Source organism: Homo sapiens, chromosome X, assembly GCF_000001405.40.
Source record: "Homo sapiens chromosome X, GRCh38.p14 Primary Assembly".
Lineage (NCBI taxonomy): Eukaryota > Metazoa > Chordata > Mammalia > Primates > Hominidae > Homo > Homo sapiens.
This window is the reverse complement of record NC_000023.11, coordinates 93,022,829-93,043,974: the sequence shown is the minus strand read 5'-3', so window position 1 is coordinate 93,043,974 and position 21,146 is coordinate 93,022,829. Positions and strand designations below refer to the sequence as shown.

At 38.2% G+C, this 21,146-nt stretch overlaps 1 pseudogene, besides 1 other annotated feature; it reads right to left on the bottom strand.

The window, feature by feature from the left end:
- On the bottom strand, positions 444-1,505 carry DLGAP5P2 (DLGAP5 pseudogene 2; annotated as a pseudogene).
- Positions 15,401-15,924: an enhancer, noted in NCBI's record as "NANOG hESC enhancer chrX:92283050-92283573 (GRCh37/hg19 assembly coordinates)". NCBI's record gives its function as "activates a minimal SCP1, AML or CMV promoter by ChIP-STARR-seq in primed H9 embryonic stem cells {active_cell/tissue: H9 hESC(primed)}" and the evidence as "EXISTENCE:reporter gene assay evidence [ECO:0000049][PMID:30033119]".

Sequence of the window (21,146 nt, the reverse complement as noted above, 5' to 3'; positions counted from 1 at the left end):
ATAAAATAGAAAAGTTCCTAGAGAAACACAAAATGCTGAAAGTGACTAAAAAAAAAAGGAAAACCCTGAAAAGAAGTACATGCACAGAGATTAAATTACTAACCAAAAATATATTCACAAAGACCCAGAAAAAAAGACTTTGCTACTGTATTCTAACAAGCACTTAAATAACTGATACCAATTACTCATAAATGCTTCTAAAAACAGAACAGAAAGAAATACTTCCCAACTCTTTATTTTAGTCCAATAATATCTGGATATGAAAACCAAAGAAAACAAAATAAAAAAACACACAGTCTGATATCTCTTATAACAGATGTAAAAATGCTCAACAAAATGCTAGCCAACTGAATACAGCAGCATGTTAAATGGATCATAAACAATTATCTCAGATTTGTCCCAAGAATGCAAAGTTGTTTTAACATCTAAAAATCAATGTATTTCAAAGTACAATTTTATTTTGCATGGTTAATGTACAAAATATTTCCACCTCCCTTGAAAAACAGTATTGTATCTAAATTGGAATATATTGCTGAGATATATAGCTGAAAACATACAGTTCACTTAACAATTAACATTTAAACAGATAATATTACACAAGTAGATTCAATAGATGTGAATATACATACATATTACCCAAATTTTTAATAGTCTAAAGAATATATTACAGACTAGGCATAGAGGCTCATGCCTGTAATTTCAGCACTTTGGGAGGCAAAGGCAGGAGGATTGCTTGAGGTCGGGAGATTGAGACCAGGCTGGGCAACTTAGTGAGACCCTGTATCTACAAAATTAAAAAAAAAAATAGCCACCCATAGCTGTGTGTGCCTGTAGTCCCAGCTCCTTTGGATAGCTTGAGCCCAGGAGGTTGAGGCTACAGCACACTGTGGTCATGTCACCGTACTCCAGTCTACACACAGAGTGAGATCCTGTCCAAAAAAAAGAATATATTACAGCATTAAAAATACAGAAGGAAGTATTTTGTTTTACTTTTAAATTTAAAATTCTTCTGATTGTTCTACACAGAGAGGCTTAAATGTGAAAAAGCAATCAGCTTACCACCAAATAAAATGTGTCTGGCATGTTCTTGATGTCTCTCCAGCTAAACGAATGGACTATGACAGTTTAGGTTGAATTAACAAGGTGGCATTCAGTAATGAGATTTTTATTATCAAATAGAACTGACTGAGAAATGTTAGTTTGTGAGATGTCATTTTGTGATGGCATAATTTTTTCAGAGCTACTCATTAAAACATTCTGAGGTATAATTGAAAAATTTAGTTTCCTTCTTACCACAACATCTGAAATTTCTTCTTTTTTGTTAGTATTAACTGCTACTCCATCAGCAAGAAGAAGTAAACTCATTATTTCACTGGATAAACAATCCATCTCAACATTTATTTTATTTACATCATGGTTTATTTCAATTAAGTGTGGTAATCCAGGGCACTGAGTATCTCCTATTATGCTGTTCCTGCATTCAGGAGTATTTGATGACAAAATCTAAAAGTTGATTTTAAAAAGTCTTTGAGACATCTGGGACTAAATAAATTGATTAATTTACAAATTATTGGTATTACTGTGGGGGAATAGAGATAAAAGTTATAGAAAACATATTTAAGGAAGTAATCGATGTAAACTTTTCAAGTTTAGCAAGAGAGTTAGGCATTGAGGTACAGAAACCCAGTGCTACACAAACAAACACAATGCAAAAATTACTTTAACATGAAACACTGTATTCAGAATGTCTAAAGTTCAAGTAAAAGAAAGAATTTTAAAATTAACAAGAAAAATGTATCTAGTAAGCTATGAAGGAAACTCTGTTAGATTAACATTGAACTTTCCAGCAGAAACCTTACAGGCCATAAGAGAATGAAACTGCATTTTTAAGGTGCTAAAAGAAAAACACTGTCCACCAAGAATTTTATTTGGAATAAGCTTCACAAATGAAGGAGAAATAAAATTTTATTCATATAAGCAAATGCTAAGTGAATTTGCCACTAGACTAGCCATACAGGAAATGCTCAAAGAAGCCTTAAATATGGAAAGTATAAAACACACAGTTCTCAGAAAACAAGCACATAAAGGGGGAAGAGAAAGAATGAAATGGCAACATGACAGAATTTTCTGAAACCACAAAGACAAAAAGAGAATAAAAGGGAAACAAAAATTCGTAAAAACAATTTGAAAACAATTAACAATATTACCAGGACAATGAATCACATATTAATATTAATCCTGAATACAAATGGACTAAATGCTGCACTTAAAAAATAGATCGATAGAATGGACTTAAAAAATGATCCAACTATATCCTGCTTAAAAGAAACTTATCTAACCAATAAAAGTACATACAGATTGAAAGTAAAGGGGTAGAAAAAGATATTTCACACAAATGGAAACAAAAAGTGAGCAGGAGTAGCTATACTTATATCAGCTAAAGTAGACTTTAAATCAGAAACAATTTTAAAAAGACAACGAATGTCATTATATAATAAAGGGATCAATTCAGCAAGAGGCTATAACAGGTCTAAATATATATGTGCCTAACATTGAAGTATCTAAATTTACAAAACAGATATTACTGGACCTAAAAAAATACATAGAAAGCAATACAATAATAGTCGGAGACTTCAACACCCCACTAACAGCTCAAAATAGATCATTAAGACAGAGACTAACAAAGAAACATTGGACTTAAATTAGATCTTAGATCAAATGGACTAAACAGATATTTACATAACATTCTACACAAGAATTACAGACTACAAAGTATTTTTATCAGTACATGTAACATTTTCTAAGATAGATCTCATATTAGGCTACAAAACAAGTCAATATATTTTAAAAATTAAAACCTCATCAAGTATCTTCTCACACCAGAGTGGAATAAAGCTAGAAATGAATACCAAGAGAAACTTTGTGAATTAAACAAATACATAGAAATTAAATAGCATGCTCCTGCACAATCATTATGTTAGAGGCGTTCAAACCAGAGTGACTCCGTTTTGAGTGAGGACCAGGAAAATGACGCCGAGACTTGCTTGGCTGCATTCCCAGAAAATTAGAAATTCCTAGACTCTAGATGCTTACCATTAAGGGAACAAATTAATGAAGTTTACTGAAACAGACCCAGACTTGGGCATGTCCAGATATCCCCATATCTGGAGAACAAGGGCATTCCTAATTTTGCTTTAAAGATAATAATATTGATTCTTGCAAAATGTAGTAATTAATTAATCCTTTATCACAAACCCTTGCATCAGAACACATCTCCCCAAGATCTATTTGTATCATATATATATGTAAGTGTATATATATGTATGTGTATATATATGTATATACATATATATGTGTGTGTATATATACGTATATATGTATATATATATGTATATACACATATATACGTATATACATATATACATATACACACATATATACTTATATACATATATATACGTATACACATATATACATATATACATATACACATATATACATATACACATATATACACATATATACAATACATATATACATATATACATATGCATATGCATATACGTATATGCGTATATGCATGTGCATATACATATATGTATATACGTATATACATGTGCATATACATATATGTATATACGTATATACATGTGCATATGTATATATGTATATATATGTATGTGTATATATATATACACACACACACATGCATACACACACACACACACACACAAGCATTGTAACTAGGGTGGATGTGTTCCTCCTCTTACTTTCAGGAATGTCCTACTCTATGGAGTAGCTGTTCTTTCACCACTTTACTCTCTTAATAAAGTTGTATTTACTTTGCACTGCAGACTCACCCTGAATTTTTTCCTGTGTGAGATCCAAGAACCATCTCGGGATCTGGATCGGGACCTCTTTCCAATAACAACTGGGTTAATGAAGAAATGAAAAAAATTGTAAAAACATTTGAAATAAATAAAAATAAAAACATGACATCAAAACTTTTGGGATACAGCAAAAGCAGTATTATAAGGGAGGTTTATAGCATTAAATATCTACATCATAAAGGTAAAAAGATTACAAATTTACCTAACATCACACCTCAAGGAACTAGAAAAACAAGAAAAAGAAATCATCACAAGAGTTAGCAGAAGAAAAGAAATACCAAAGGTCAGAGAAGAACTAAATCAAATTGAGACCAAAAAAAAAAAAAAAATACAAAAGATGATTGAAATGAAAAATTGGTTCTTCGATAACATAAACAAAATTAGTAAACCCATTACCAGATTAACCAAGAAAATAGAGTAGATCCAAATAAACACAATCAGAAACGTAAAAGAAGACATTACAACTGATACCACAGAAATACAAAAGTTCTTCAAAGACTATTATGAACAACTATAGGCTCACAAACTAGAAAACCTAGAGGAAATGGATACATTCCTGGAAACATAGAACCTTTCCAGATGATTGTACCACAAATAAATAGACCTCTTGAATAGACCAATAATGAGTAGTGAGATTTAATCTGTAATAAAAAACCTCTTCCACAAAAAAAGCCCACAACCAAATGGATTCAGAGCTGAATTCTACCAAACATACAAAGAAAAACTAAAACCAAAACTCTTGAAACTATTCCAAAAAATTGACAAGGAGGGAATTCACCCTAACTCATTCCATGAGGCCAGTATCACCTTGATACCAAAACCAAAGACACATTAAAAAAAATACAGACAGGCAGGGTGTGGTGGCTGACGCCTGTAATCCTAGCACTTGGGGAAGCTGAGGTGGGAGGATCACAAAGTCAGGAGTTCGAGACCAGCCTGGCCAGTATGGTGAAACCACGTCTCTACTAACAATACAGAAATTGCGTGGTGGCAGGTGCCTGTAGTCCCAGCTACTCAGGAGGCTGAGGCAGGAGAATCGCTTGAACCTCGGAGGCAGAGGTTGCAGTGAGCCAAGATCCCGCCACTGCACTCCAGTCTGGGCGACAGAGCGAGACTCCATCTCAACAAAAAATAAAAATAAAAATACGGACCAATCATATAGATGCAAAAATCCACAACTAGCAATTCAATTCTATTATCGAATGAATAAGACCTACTATTTGATATCACAACAAGGTGACTAAAATCAACAATAACTTAATTGTACATTTTAAAATAACTTAAAGGGTGTAATTGGATTGTTTGTAACTCAAAGGATAAATGCCTGAGGAAATGGATACCCCATTTTCTGTGAAGTGATTAATTATTTCATATTGCATGCCTCTATCAAAACATTTTATATACCCCATAAATATACACACCCACTATGTGCTCATGAAAATTAAAAATTAAAAATCTATAAAAATAAAATAATAAAAATCTTCCACTTAAAAAATAAAATGTAAAAAAGGCTGAAATAATTCTCTTTTAAATTACTGATGCTTTTTTGTACATAATTATTTGACAAATTTGCCATTCTTTAAAAAACTGTGTTTTTTTGTCAGTGTAGGCAGACAGGGAAATGTGTCACTCAGATCTTTTGCTCTGGGAAGTGTAGTTGGCTGAAAATCCTAGCCACTGTTCCTCTAGATATATCTCTGCTTTGTGCTGAGTCCACATTTCTTCTGGAATACCTCAGTCAATAACAGAGTATGAGTATTCTCTGTGGGACATAGCACTATTTTATGGCCTGACCAAATCTTTTTCAAAGCTGTGCTACAGTCTGGAACTTTTCATATTCAATCCACCTCCCTATGGTTTGTTCTTTCACAGGTTTCAGTATTACTGTATGAAGATTATCTCTGCTTTTTCTGTTTATCTTCCATAAACATTACTTTAAACATATGTCTTGAATATCTAATCTCATATTGGCATCTGCTCTCAAGAAAACCAAAATAACAGTCAGGTTTCTAAACTTTTTCAAGACAATAGCAATTATATCCCTAACTTGACTTGCTGGGAAATAATATAGCTTTCATAATTAACTGGTAAATAAGAAGGGTTATAAATCAGGTACTTATTAGTAAGCACGACTTGAAATTTAGCATTGCTGTCTTAGCAAATTTCAGTAGAAAGAGGCAATATCTATGCAAAATTGTTTAAAGAATCCTTAGTCAATCAAATTTCCATATCAGAGGTTGGCAAACTTATGGATCTGTTTTTGTATGGCCTGGGAGCTAAGAAAGTATTTTACAGTTTTTAAGGGCTGTAAAACAAACTAATATAAAACAAACAGAAAACAAAAAAAGCAAAGAATATGAGTTTGAGACCATATGGCTCACAATATTTAAACTATTCACTATTTAAAGAAAGTGTTTTCTGATCCCAGATTTATATGCTTTTAAATATATTCTTGGATTAAGCAATATCAGAAAATAATGCTTTACATTTTTGTGAAAGGGGAAAAGTCAAGCTAGAAACTGCTTAGGGCCAACCTGCCCCCCATGCTTTTCAAAGTCACCCCTCTGCTCACTGAGATAAATGCATATCTGATTCCCTCCTTGGGAGAGGCTAATCAGAAATTCAAAAGAATGCAGCTATTTTTCTCTTACCTACCTATGACCTGGAAGTCCTCTCCCTGCTTTCAGTCTTCCCACCTTTGCTTTGAGTTGTCCCTTTCCAGACCAAACCAATGCTCATCTTGGAAATGTTGATTGATGTCTCATGTCTCCCTGGAATCCGTAAAATCAAACAGTGCTCTGACCACTTTGGGAACATATTGTCAGGACCTCATGAGGCTGTGTCACAGGCCTGCATCCTCAACCTTGGCAAAATAAACTTTTTAAATTAACTGAGACCTGTCTCAGATTTTTGGGGTTCACATTTTCTACTTGAAAGCTTAAGTCACATTTGCATCCTGGTATGGAAAATATACTATGTAATTTTAACATGCATCTTTAAGCCATCATCACTTCTGACCTTATCTTATTTATCTTCTATCACTATTTCAATTATATACTAATTTCAACTTTTATTTTATCTTAACATATTTATTTGTTATATACTTTTAACATTTTAGCTTGGATCTCCTACTCTCCACCTCTGAAAGGGTATAGATTAAGAGCATTGTGAAATTTAATGATCTATGAAAAAGTATGAATTTGCTCAAATTACTTGATGCTTTCTGTAGCTAAATAATATATACAGGATATATTATATCTGTACCAAATGGAAGTACAACATAGAGGAAATAAACAAGGGCTGAGATATAAGCCTCTTCGTAGAACCCCAATTTTTTGCGATACATAAAATCCAAAGGATTTCAACAGTTGCTTCTATACATAGATATTATTATCTATAATAGGTGTTGTTAACCAGGGTTTATGACTGCTTTGGGGTACAGTAATAAATGTTGGGTAATTTGTGATGATCTTGATGTTGTATACAAAATTTGTTATATACATATGTGACTATGTTTATAAGAAAATGAACAATAGCTTATATCACATTTCTAAAAGTTCTGAAACTCCTAGAAGTTGATTTTGTTGTCCGAATAGGATAGAGTCAACAGTCAAACCCAAAGATCATCTCAAGCTGGAATCCAGAGCATTCCTGAGGTTCTTAGTCTGAACTGGTTTCATAGGCCTGATTTAAAAAAAAAAAAAACAAAAAAAACTTTAATTTTATGCCTAAAGACAGATTATAAAGATCTTCAAGTTGTAGGACTTTTTTTTGGCTTTTCCAGATTGTCACAGGAATGTGACACCTTAAATTCCTGTGACATAACATATGCTCGTGTTATTATTTTTATTTTCTCCAGTGTGAATTCTTCTATTTGTTACATATGCTAACTTTGCCTTGTAGTGGTGAGATTTGGGAGGTATTTTGTAATTTTTATTAATAAGATCATCCTCATAGGATTTATTGTCTTAATTTTTTGGCTGAAAATTTTTACATAAGTTGGTAATTTCAGCCCTCAAACACACATGGTTGAAACACATAGTGATATTGGTTTATTGCAGATGAATTCCTTAGACTCATATTTCAGGACAAAAAATTCACTAGTAATCCATTTTTTGAGGCCGGGAAAAAGAGTCTTCCTTATCCACATTTAGGGTCACACATGTCACAATCATTTTCACACTTCCAGATATATAGAAGGGAGGACTTTCAGGAATCCAACACACAAATAGACTATAGGCTCAGTTCCAATCCTCACTTGTGTGTAAATATCCCTTTTCCTGAAAACACGGTTTCTCAATTGAGAATGTATCTGTCCCTCCTTCCCTAGCCTGACGGAGTTTGAAAATGTTTGAGTCAGGGTAAAATCTAGAATTGCGGGGTCTGAAGTTTTATACAACTCTTAATGTCTTTTAAAGAATAATACAAATTTACAAATACAAAATTAGGTACAGGGCTCTGGGAGGAGTTTATGTAATGGCAGACCCTTAAATTTGAGCTTCATTAACCTCATAATAAATTTTCTTCTAGTTGATGCATTATTACTTGTTGCAATGACTATTGGATCTTATTGGCATTTAGTGTGAATGGGTCCAGAAAAGCCAAATATCCTGAAATGTATGAGATATTTTGACAAAAAAAAATAACTATCCTGGGGAATATGTCAATTATCTCAGAGTTTCATAAAGGATTACATCCCTCTAATTAATGGCTATAAGTTTCTTATTAGATTATGTATGTTACCTGAAGACTGTGTCTTCTTGCTTTCAAGCTTACTTATTAATTTTTTAAAAACATAAAGGATTTTTTATCCTGAGATTTTTTTATTTCAACTTTTACTTTAGGTATAGGGGGTACTTGTGCAGGTTTGTTACAGGGTTGTATTGCATGCAGGATATTGGGCCTAGTACCTGATGAGTAGTTTTTCAACCCAAGCCCCACACTCTCTCCTGACTAGTAGTCTCTAGTATCTATTATTCCCATGTTTACATCCATGTGTACACAATTTTGAGCTCCCACTTACAAGTGAGAACATGCAGTATTTGATTTTTGGATCTTGTGTTAGTACACTTAGAATTATGGCCTCCAGCTTTATCCATGTTGCTGCAAAAGACATAATTTAATTTTTTTATGGCTGCATAATATTCTATGGTGTATATGTATGACATTTTTTTCATTTAACCTACCACTGATGGGCACTAGGTTAATTGCATGTCTTTGCTATTGTGAAGAGCCTAGCAATGAACATATGAGTGCATGTGTCTTTTGATTTAATGATCTATTTTCCTTTGTGTATATATTCAGTAACAGTATTAATGGGTCAAATGGTAGCTCTGTGTTATTTAAGAAATAACTAAGTTATTTAAGAAAGCTCTCAACTACTTTCCATAGTGTCTGAACTAATTTACATTCTCATCAACAGTGTATAAGCATTTCTTTTCTTCCACAACCTCACCAATATCTGCTGTTTTTTATTTTTTAAGAACAAGCATGATTTTGCAGTGGCTGGTACCGGTTGTGCCTTTCCATGTTTAGTGCTTCCTTCAGGAACTCTTTTAGGGCAGGCCTGGTGGTGACAAAATCTCTCAGGATTTGCTTGTCTGTCAAGGATTTTATTTCTCCTTCACTTATGAAGCTTAGTTTGTCTGGATATGAAATTCTGGGTTGAAAATTCTTTTCTTTAAGAATGTTGAATATTGGCCCCCACTCTCTTCTGGCTTCTAGAGTTTCTGCTGAGAGATCCGCTGTTAGTCTGATGGGCTTCCCTTTGTGGGTAACCCGACCTTTCTCTCTGGCTGCCCTTAACATTTTTTCCTTCATTTCAACTTTGGTGAATCTGACAATTATGTGTCTTGGAGTTGCTCTTCTCAAGGAGTATCTTTGTGGTGTTCTCTGTATTTCCTGAATCTCAATGTTGGCCTGCCTTGCTAGATTGGGGAAGTTTTCCTGGATAATATCCTGCAGAGTGTTTTCCAACTTGGTTCCATTCTCCCCATCACTTTGAGGTAAACCAATCAGATGCAGATTTGGTCTTTTCACATAGTCCCATATTTCTTGGAGGCTTTGATCGTTTCTTTTTATTCTTTTTTCTCTAAACTTCCCTTCTCACTTCATTTCATTCATTTCATCTTCCATCACTGATACCCTTTCTTCCAGTTGATTGCATCAGTTCCTGAGGCTTCTGCATTCTTCACTTAGTTCTCGAGCCTTGGCTTTCAGCTCCATCAGCTCCTTTAAGCACTTCTCTGTATTGGTTATTCTAGTTATACATTCATGTAAATTTTTTTCAAAGTTTTCAACTTCTTTGCCTTTAGTTTGAATTTCCTCCTGTAGCTCGGAGTAGTTTGATCGTCTGAAACCTTCTTCTCTCAACTCGTCAAAGTCATTCTCCATCCAGCTTTGTTCCATTGCTGGTGAGGAACTGCGTTTCTTTGGAGGAGGAGAGGTGCTCTGCTTTTTAGAGTTTCCAGTTTTTTCCCCATCTTTGTGGTTTTATCTACTTTTGGTCTTTGATGATGATGATGTACAGATGGGTTTTTGGTGTGGATGTCCTTTCTGTTTGTTAGTTTTCCTTCTAACAGACAGGACCCTCAGCTGCAGGTCTGTTGGAGTTTGCTAGAGGTCCACTCCAGACCCTGTTTGCCTGGGTATCAGCAGCAATGTCTGCAGAACCACGGATTTTCGTGATCCGCGAATGCTGCTATCTGATCTTTCCTCTGGAAGTTTTGTCTCAGAGGAGTACCTGGCCGTGTGAGGTGACAGTCTGCCCCTACTGGGGGGTGCCTCCCAGTTAGGCTGCTCCGGGGTCAGGGGTCAGGGACCCACTTGAGGAGGCAGTCTGCCCGTTCAAAATAAAAGGATGGAGGAAGATCTACCAAGCAAATGGAAAACAAAAAAAAGCAGGGATTGCAATCCTAGTCTCTGATAAAACAGACTTTAAACCAACAAAGATCAAAAGAGACAAAGAAGGCCATTACATAATGGTAAAGGGATCAATTCAACAAGAAGAGCTAACTATCCTAAATATATATGCACCCAATACAGGAGCACCCAGATTCATAAAGCAAGTCCTGAGTGACCTACAAAGAGACTTAGACTGCCAAACAATAATAATGGGAGACTTTAACACCCCACTGTCAACATTGGACAGATCAACGAGACAGAAAGTTAACAAGGATACCCAGGAATTAAACTCAACGCTGCACCAAGTGGACCTAATAGACATCTACAGAACTCTCCACCCCAGATGAACAGAATATACATTTTTTTCAGCACCGTACCACACCTATTCCAAAATTGACCACATAGTTGGAAGTAAAGCTCTCCTCAGCAAATGTAAAAGAACAGAAATTATAACAAACTGTCTCTCAGACCACAGTGCAATCAAACTAGAACTCAGGATTAAGAAACTCACTCAAAACCGCTCAACTACATGGAAACTGAACAACCTGATCCTGAATGACTACTGGGTACATAACGAAATGAAGGCAGAAATAAAGATGTTCTTTGAAACCAACGAGAACAAAGAACCAACATACCAGAATCCCTGGGACACATTCAAAGCAGTGTGTAGAGGGAAATTTATAGCACTAAATGCCCACAAGAGAAAGCAGGAAAGATCCATAATTGACACCCTAACATCACAATTAAAAGAACTAGAGAAGCAAGAGCAAACACATTCAAAAGCTAGCAGAAGGCAAGAAATAACTAATATCAGAGCAGAACTGAAGGAAATAGAGACACAAAAAACCCTTCAAAAAATTAATGAATCCAGGAGCTGGTTTTTTGAAAGGATCAACAAAATTGATAGACAGCTAGCAAGACTAATAAAGAAAAAAAGAGAGAAGAATCAAATAGACGCAATAAAAAATGATCAAGGGGATATCACCACTGATCCCAGAGAAATACAAACTACCATCAGAGAATACTACAAACACCTCTACGCAAATAAACTAGAAAATCTAGAAGAAATGGATAAATTCCTCGACACATAGACTCTCCCAAGACTAATCCAGGAAGAAGTTGAATCTCTGAATAGACCAATAACAGGATCTGAAATTGTGGCAAGAATCAATAGCTTACCAACCAAAAAGAGTCCAGGACCAGATGGATTCACAGCTGAATTCTACCAGAGGTACAAGGAGGAACTGGTACCATTCCTTCTGAAACTATTCCAATCAATAGAAAAAGAGGGAATCCTCCCTAACTCATTTTATGAGGCCAGCATCATCCTGATACCAAAGCCAGGCAGAGACACAACCAAAAACAGAATTTTAGACCAATATCCTTGATGAATATTGATGCAAAAATCCTCAATAAAATACTGGCAAACTGAATCCAGCAGCACATCAAAAAGCTTATCCACCATGATCAAGTGGGCTTCATCCCTGAGATGCAACCCTGGTTCAATATACACAAATCAATAAATGTAATCCAGCATATAAACAGAACCAAAGACAGCAACCACATGATCATCTCAATAGATGCAGAAAAGGCCTTTGACAAAGTTCAACAACACTTCATGCTAAAAACTCTCAATAAATTAGGTATTGATGGGATGTATTTCAAAATAATAAGAGCTATCTATGACAAACCCACAGCCAATATCATACTGAATGGGCAAAAACTGGAAGCATTCCCTTTGAAAACTGGCACAAGACAGGGATGCCCTCTCTCACCACTCCTATTCAACATAGTGTTGGAAGTTCTGGCCAGGGCAATCAGGCAGGAGAAGGAAATAAAGGGCATTCAATTAGGAAAAGAGGAAGTCAAATTGTCCCTGTTTGCAGATGACATGATTGTATATCTAGAAAAGCCCATTGTCTCAGCCCAAAATCTCCTTAAGCTGATAAGCAACTTCAGCAAAGTCTCAGGATACAAAATCAATGTACAAAAATCACAAGCATTCTTATAAACCAATAACAGACAAACAGAGAGCCAAATTATGAGTGAACTCCCATTCACAATTGCTTCAAAGAGAAAAAAATACTTAGGAATCCAACTTACAAGGGACGTGAAGGACCTCTTCAAGGAGAACTACAAACCACTGCTCAATGAAATAAAAGAGGATACAAACAAATGGAAGAACATTCCATGCTCATGGGTAGGAAGAATCAATATCGTGAAAATGGCCATACTGCCCAAGGTAATTTATAGATTCAATGCCATCCCCATCAAGCTACCAATGACTTTCTTTACAGAATTGGAAAAAACTACTTTAAAGTTCATATGGAACCAAAAAAGAGCCTGCATCACCAAGTCAATCCTAAGCCAAAAGAACAAATCCGGAGGCATCACGCTACCTGACTTCAAACTATACTACAAGGCTACAGTAACCAAAACAGCATGGTACTGGTACCAAAACAGAGATATAGATCAATGGAACAGAACAGAGCCCTCAGAAATAACGCCTCATATCTACAACTATCTGATCTTTGACAAACCTGAGAAAAACAAGCAATGGGGAAAGGATACCCTATTTAATAAATGGTGCTGGGAAAACTGGCTAGCCATATGTAGAAAGCTGAAACTGGATCCCTTCCTTACACCTTATACAAAAATTAATTCAAGATGGATCAAAGACTTAAATGTTAGACCTAAAACCATAAAAACCCTAGAAGAAAACCTAGGCATTACCATTCAGGACATAGACATGGGCAAGAACTTCATGTCTAAAACACCAAAAGCAATGGCAACAAAAGCCAAAATTGACAAATGGGATCTGATTAAACTAAAGAGCTTCTGCACAGCAAAAGGAACTACCATCAGAGTGAACAGGCAACCTACAAAATGGGAGAAAATTTTCACAACCTACTCATCTGACAAAGGGCTAATATCCAGAATCTACAATGAACTCAAACAAATTTACAAGAAAAAAACAACCAACCCCATCAAAAAGTGGGCAAAGGATATGAACAGACATTTCTCAAAAGAAGACATTTGTGCAGCCAAAAGACACATGAAAAAAATGCTCATCATCACTGGCCATCAGAGAATTGCAAATCAAAACCACAATGAGACACCATCTCACACCAGTTAGAATGGCAATCATTAAAAAGTCAGGAAACAACAGGTGCTGGAGAGGATGTGGAGAAATAGGAACACTTTTACACTGTTGGTGGGACTGTAAACTAGTTCAACCATTGTGGAAGTCAGTGTGTTATGTTAGAAATCCCTAGATTCCTCAGGGATCTAGAACTAGAAATACCATTTGACCCAGCCATCCCATTACTGGGTATATACCCAAAGGATTATAAATCATGCTGCTATAAAGACACATGCACAGGTATGTTTATTGCAGCACTATTCACAATAGCAAAGACTTGGAACCAACCCATATGTCCAGCAATGATAGACTGGATTAAGAAAATGTGGCACATATACACCATGGAATACTATGCAGCCATAAAAAATGATGAGTTCATGTCCTTTGTAGGGACATGGATGAAATTGGAAATCATCATTCTCAGTAAACTATCGCAAGGACAAAAAACCAAACACCACATGTTCTCACTCATAGATGGGAATTGAACAATGAGAACACATGGACACAGGAAGGGGAACATCACTCTGGGGACTGTTGTGGGTTGGGGGAGGGGCAAGGGATAGCATTAGGAGATATACCTAATGCTAAATGACGAGTTAATGGGTGCAGCACACCAGCATGGCACATGTATACATATGTTACTAACCTGCACATTGTGCACATGTACCCTAAAACTTAAAGTATAATAATAAAAAAAAAAAATGAAAGAAACATGGAAAAAAAAAAAAGAACAGGCATTCTGACCAGTGTAAGATGGTATCTCATTGTGGTTTTGATTTACATTTCTCTAATGATTAGTATTTTTATATGTAATTTTTGACTGCATGTATGTCTTTTGTCTATGATTATATTTTGCCCATTTCTTAATGTTTTTATTTGTTTTTTAAACTATTGAATTGCTTAATTTCCTTGTAGTTTCTGGATATTAAACCTTTTCAGATGTGTAGTTTGCAAATATTTTCTCCCATTGTGTAGGTAGTCTGTTTACTCTATTAATAGTTTCTTTTGCTGTGCGGAAGATTTTAATTATGTACCAGTTGCCAACTTTTGGCATATATTTGCAATTGCTTTTGAGAACTCAGCCAAAAATTATTTGCCAAGGCCCGTGTTGAGAAGGATATTTCCTAGGTTTTCTTCTAAGTTTTTTATAGACTGATATCTTAAATTTAATTAATTCATCTTGGAGTAATTTTTGTATATGATGAAAGGCAAGAGTACAGTTTCATTCTTCTGCATTTATAACTAGCCAGTTATCCCAGCACTATATATTGAATAGGTAGTGCTTTTCCCATTGCTTGGTTTTGTCAGCCTTGTTGATGATCAGATAATTGTAAGTGTGTGGTTTTACTTCTGAGTTTACTACTCTTTTCCATTAATCTATGTGTCTGTTTTTATATTAATATTTTCATGTGAGTCCGTGTGAAGAGACCACCAAATAGGCTTTGTGTGAGCAATAAAGCTGTTTATTTCACCTGGATGCAGGTGGGCTGAGTCCGAAAAGAGTCAGTGAAGGGAGATGGGAGTGGGGCGGTTTTATAGGATTTGGGTAGGTAAAGGAAAATTACAGTCAAAGGGGGGTTGTTCTCTGGCAGGCAGAGTGGGGGTCACAAGGTGCTCAGTAGGGGAGCTTTTGAGCCAGGATGAGCCAGGAGAAGGAATTTCACAAGACAGTGTCATCAGTTAAGGCAGGGACACGCCATTTTCACTTCTTTTGTGGTGGAATGTCGTCAGTTAAGGCAGGAACCGGCCATCTGGATGTGTACGTGTAGGTCACAAGGGATATAATGGCTTAGCTTGGGCTCAGAGGCCTGACATTCCTGTCTTCTTATATTAATAAGAAAAATAAAATGAAATAGTGGTAAAGTGTTGGGACGGTGAAAATTTTTGGGGGTGGTATGGAGAGATAATGGGCAATGTTTCTCAGGGCTGCTTCGAGCAGGATTAGGGGTGGCGTGGGAACCTAGAGTGGGAGAGATTAAGCTGAAGGAAGATTTTGTGGTAAGGGGTGATATTGTGGGACTGTTAGAAGAAACATTTGTCATTTAGAATTATTGGTGATGGCCTGGATATGGTTTTGTATGAATTGAAAAACTAAACGGAATAAGAGAAGGAGAAAAACAGGTATTAAAGGTCTAAGAATTGGGAGGACCTAGGACATCTAATTAGAGTGCCTGAGGAAATTCACCATAGTCCTGTCAGCAAAGATTATTTATTTACTTCAAGAGTTAAGAGTGGCAGTTTGGGGGATAGCACCAGGAGATATCAGCTGTGATGGCTTGGAGAAACAGTGTAAACCCGCAGTGTAAACAAGAGTAGGGCATGTATGAGTAGCTGAGAATGGTGAATAGGAGTATGACTAGACAGAAGATAGTAGGGATGACAAGTTTTTTGGGGGCACGGTCCAGGTTGGTCTGGTGTCTGGAATGAGACTGGGGCCTAATAAAAAGGAGTGTCCATACAGGAGCTTAAATGGGCTATACCCTGTAGCATTCCGAGGACAGGCCTGAATTCTGAGAAGGGAAAGTGGTAAAAGTATTGTCCAGTCCTTTTTAAGTTGGTGGCTGAGCTTGGTGAGGTGTGTTTTTAAAAGACCATTAGTCTGTTCTACTTTTCCTGAAGACTGAGGACTGTAAGGGATATAAAGGTTTCACTGAATACTAAGAGCCTGAAAAAATGCTTGGCTGATTTGACTAATAAAGGCTGGTCTGTTATCAGACTATATAGATGTGGGAAGGCTAAACTGAGGAATTATGTCTGACAGGAGGGAAGATATGACTGCGGTGGCCTTCTGAGGCCCTGTAGGAAAGGCCTCTACCTATCTAGTGAAAGTGTCTACTTAGACTAAGAGGTATTTTAGTTTTTGTGACTCGGGGCATGTTGAGTAAAGCTAATTTGCCAGTCCTGGGTGGGGGCAAATCCTTGAGCTTGATGTGTAGGGAAGGGAGGGGGCCTGAATAATCCCTGAGGAGTAGTAGAGTAACAGATGGAACACTGAGAAGTTATTTCCATGAGGATAGATTTCCACGATGGAAAGAAAATGAGAGGTTCTAAGAGGCGGGCTAGTTGCTTGTACTATAGCATAGCCTGCCTTTGCTGGTGTGTGGTGATTAGGCCTGGTGGAACTGCCATCAATAAATCAAGCGTGATCAGGGTGAGGAACAGGAAAGAAGGAAATATGGGGAAATGGGGTGAATGTCAGGTGGATCAGAGAGATACAGTCATGTGGGTCAGGTGTGGTATCAGGAATAATGTGGGAAGCCAGATTGAAGTCTGGGCCAGGAACAATGGTAATTGTGGGACTTAACAAAGAGTGAGTACAGCTGAAGGAGCCAGGGAGCAGAAAGTATATGCATCAGGTATGAGGAAGAAAATCGATTTTGGAAGTTATGAGAAATGTAGAGAGTAATTTGAGCATAGTTTGTGATTTTGAGGGCCTCTAAAAGTATTAGGGTGGCAGCAGCCACTGCATGGAGACATGATGGCTAGGCTAAAACAGTAAGGTCAAATTGTTTGGACAGAAAGGCTACAGGGTGCAGTCCTGGCTCTTGTGTAAGAATTCTGACCACACTAACCATGGCTAGGAAGGAAAGGAATGTTGTTTTGTAAGGGATTGAGGTTTGGGAGATTAATCGGACATGATCAGCAGGGAAAGCACGTGTGTTTTTATGAGAATTATTCCAAGATAGGTAACAGATGAGGATGAAATTTGGGCTTGACTGAAGTAATGGGGGCTGTCTGTGAAGCCTTGCGGCAGTACAGCCCAGGTAATTTGCTGAGCCTAATGGGTGTCAGGGTTAGTCTAAGTGAAAGCAAAGAGAGGCTGGGACAAGGGGTGCAGGGGAATAGTGAAAAAACCATCTTTAAGATCAAGAACAGAATAGTGAGTTGTGGAGGAAGGTAATGAGGACAAGAGTGTATGGGTTGGGCACCACAGGGTGGATAGGCAAAACAATTTGGTTGATAAGGCGCAGATCCTGAACTAATCTGTAAGACTTGTCCAGTTTTTGGACAGGTAAAATGGGGGAATTGTAAGGAGAGCTTATAGGTTTTAGAAGCCCATGCTGTAGCAGGCGAGTGATAACAGGTTTTAATCCTTTTAAAGCGTGCTGTGGGATGGGATATTGGTGTGCAGTGGGGTAAGGGTGATTAGATTTTAATGAGATGGTAAGGGGTGCATGATCAGTCACCAAGGAGGGAGTAGAGGTATCTTATACTTGTGGGTTAAGGTGGGGGAATACAAGAGGAGGACGCAAAGGAGGCTTTGGATTGGGAAGAAGGGCAGCAATGAGATGTAGCTGTAATCCAGGAATAGTCAAGGAAGCAGATAATTTAGTTAAAGTGTCTCAGCCTAATAAGGGAACTGGGCAGGTGGGGATAACTAAAAGGAGTGCTTAAATGAGTGTTGTCTAAGTTGGCACCAGAATTGGGGAGTTTTAAGAGGTTTAGAAGCCTGGCTGTCAATACCCACAACAGTTATGGAGGCAAGGGAAACAGGCCCTTGAAAAGAAGGTAATGTGGAGTGGGTAGCCTCCGTATTGATTAAGAAGGGGACAGACTTACCTTCCACTGTGAGAGTTATCCGAAGCTCGGCGTCTGTGACGGTCTAGGGGGCTTCCGAGGTGATCGGGAAGTGTCAGTCTTCAGCCGCTAAGCCAAGAAGATCTGGGAAGGAGTCAGAGAGCCTTGGGCCAGAGTTCCAGGGGCTCTGGGAGTGGCTGCCAGGTGAGTTGGACAGTCTGATTTCCAGTGGGGTCCTGCACAGATGGGACGTGGCTTAGGAGGAATCCTGGGCTGCAGGCATTCCTTGGCCTGGTGGCCAGATTTCTGGCACTTGTAGCAAGCTCCTCGGGGAGGAGGTTCTGGAGGAATGCCTGGCTGCTGCGGTTCAGGCGTTTGGAAGTTCTTGTGTGCTGGAGATGTGGCTGGGGTTTGTCTCACAGTGGAGGCAAGGAATTGCAACTTTTTTCTATTATTGTACACCTTGAAGGCGAGGTTAATTAAATCCTGTTGTGGGGTTTGAGGGCCAGAATTTAATTTTTGGAGTTTTATTTAATGTCGGGAGCAGATTGGGTAATAAAATGTATTTTGAGAATAAGATGGCCTTTTGACCTTTTAGGGTCTAGGGCTATAAAGTGTCTCAGGGTTGCTGCCAAATGAGTCATGAACTGGGCAGGATTTTTATATTTGATGAAAAAGAGCCTAAACGCTATCTGATTTGGAATAAAGAAAAGGGAGCATTAACCTTGACTATGGCTTTAGCTCCAGCCACCTTTTTAAGAGTAAATTGCTGGGCAGGTGGGGGAGGGCTAGTCACGGAATGAAACTGTAAGCTGGACCAGGTGTGAGGAGGGGAGGTGATAAAAGGATTATTGGGTGGAGGAGCGGAGGCTGAGGAAGAATTGGGACCTAGCTCGGCCTGGTGAGGAGCAGTCTGGGGAGGAGGGGAGAGGTCAGATGGGTCTGTAGAAAAGGAAGATTAGAAAGACTCAGCGATGCTGGGGGTTGGGATGGAGGGGACAGGTGGGAGGGAAAGAAGGAAGATTTGGGATGAGTTGCACTGGGCACAGAGACTAGGAAGGGACCAATGTGTAAAATAATTCCTGGACATCAGGCACCTCAGACCGTTTGCCTATTTTATGACAATAATTATTTAGAACTTGCAGGATGGAAAAATTGAAAGTGCTGTTTTCTGGCTATTTGGAACTACTGTCAAGTTTGTATTGGGGTCAGGTGGCATTGCAGAAGAAAATAACATGCTTAGATTTTAGATCAGGTGAGAGTTGAAGAGGTTTTAAGTTCTTAAGAACACAGGCTAAGGGAGAAGAAGGAGGAATGGAGGGTGGAAGGTTGCCCATAGTGAAGGAGGCAAGCCCAGAGAAAAGAGAGAGTAGAGACACAGAGGGAAGGGGTTTGGGAGTTCTTACCCTCCAGAAAAGTGGGAAAGGGGTTGGGACACAGAGATATGATGTCAGGGCATGGAAATAAGGGATTGGGGCACAGAGATATAAGAGGTTGGGGTGTGGAAATAAGGGATCGGGGTGCAGAGATATAAGGGGTTGGGGTACTTGCCCCTCCCCTAGAAAAGTGGGACTTGCCACTAAGGGTGAAGGAGAAGGGGTTGGGGGTCTCTTGCCCCCCAGAAAGGTGGAGAAGGGGTAGAGACACAGAGAGAAGGGGTTGGGGTACTTGCCCCTTCCCCAGAAAAGTGGGACTTGTCGCTAAGGGTGAAGGATCAAGGCAGGCGTCCCTGCATGGTCTGACACCTCTGAAACCTGGGTGAATAATCAGAGAGGCATCCCTGCAATAAGTAAACACCAAGGGAAGGCTGCCTTCCCTAGTCTGTGACCGGCACTGGAGTTTTGGGTCCACGGATAAAACATGTCTCCTTTGTCTCTACCAGAAAATGAAAGGAATTGAAATTAAGAGAACGTAGAGATTGAAGTGTGGCACCAAGATTGAAAGGAGAAAGAGGTTGAGGGATAGTGAAGGAGGCTGGAGAAGAGAGTAAAAAGAGGCCGCTTACCCGATTTAAAATTGGTGAGATGTTCCTTGGGCTGGTGGGTCTGAGGACCTGAGGTCGTAGGTGGATCTTTTTCATGGAGCAAAGAACAGGAGGACAGGGGATTGATCTCCCAAGGGAGGTCCTCTGATCTGAGTCATAGCACCAAATTTCATGCACGTCCATATGAAGAGACCACCAAACAGGCTTTGTGTGACCAATAAAGCTGTCTATTTCACCTGGGTGCAGGTGGGCTGAGTCTGAAAAGAGAGTCAGCGAAGGGAGATAGGGGTGGGGTCGTTTTATAGGATTTGGGTAGGTAAAGGAAAATTACAGTCAAAGGGGGTTGTTCTCTGGCAGGCAGAGTGGGGGTCACAAGGTGCTCAGTAGTGGAGCTTTTGAGCCAGGATGAGCCAGGAGAAGGAATTTCACAAGACAATGTCATCAGTTAAGGCAGGAACAGGACATTTTCACTTCTTTTGTGGTGGAATGTCATCAGTTAAGGCAGGAACCGGCCATCTGGATGTGTAAGCGCAGGTCACAGGAAATATGATGGCTTAGCTTAGGCTCAGAGGCCTGACAAATATCATGGTGTTTTGTTTTACTGTAGCCTTATAATATAGTTTGAACTCAGTTTGTATGATGTGTCTGGCTGTGTTCTTTTTGCTTAGGCTACTTGGGTTCTTTTTTAAGTTCCATATAATGTTTAGAA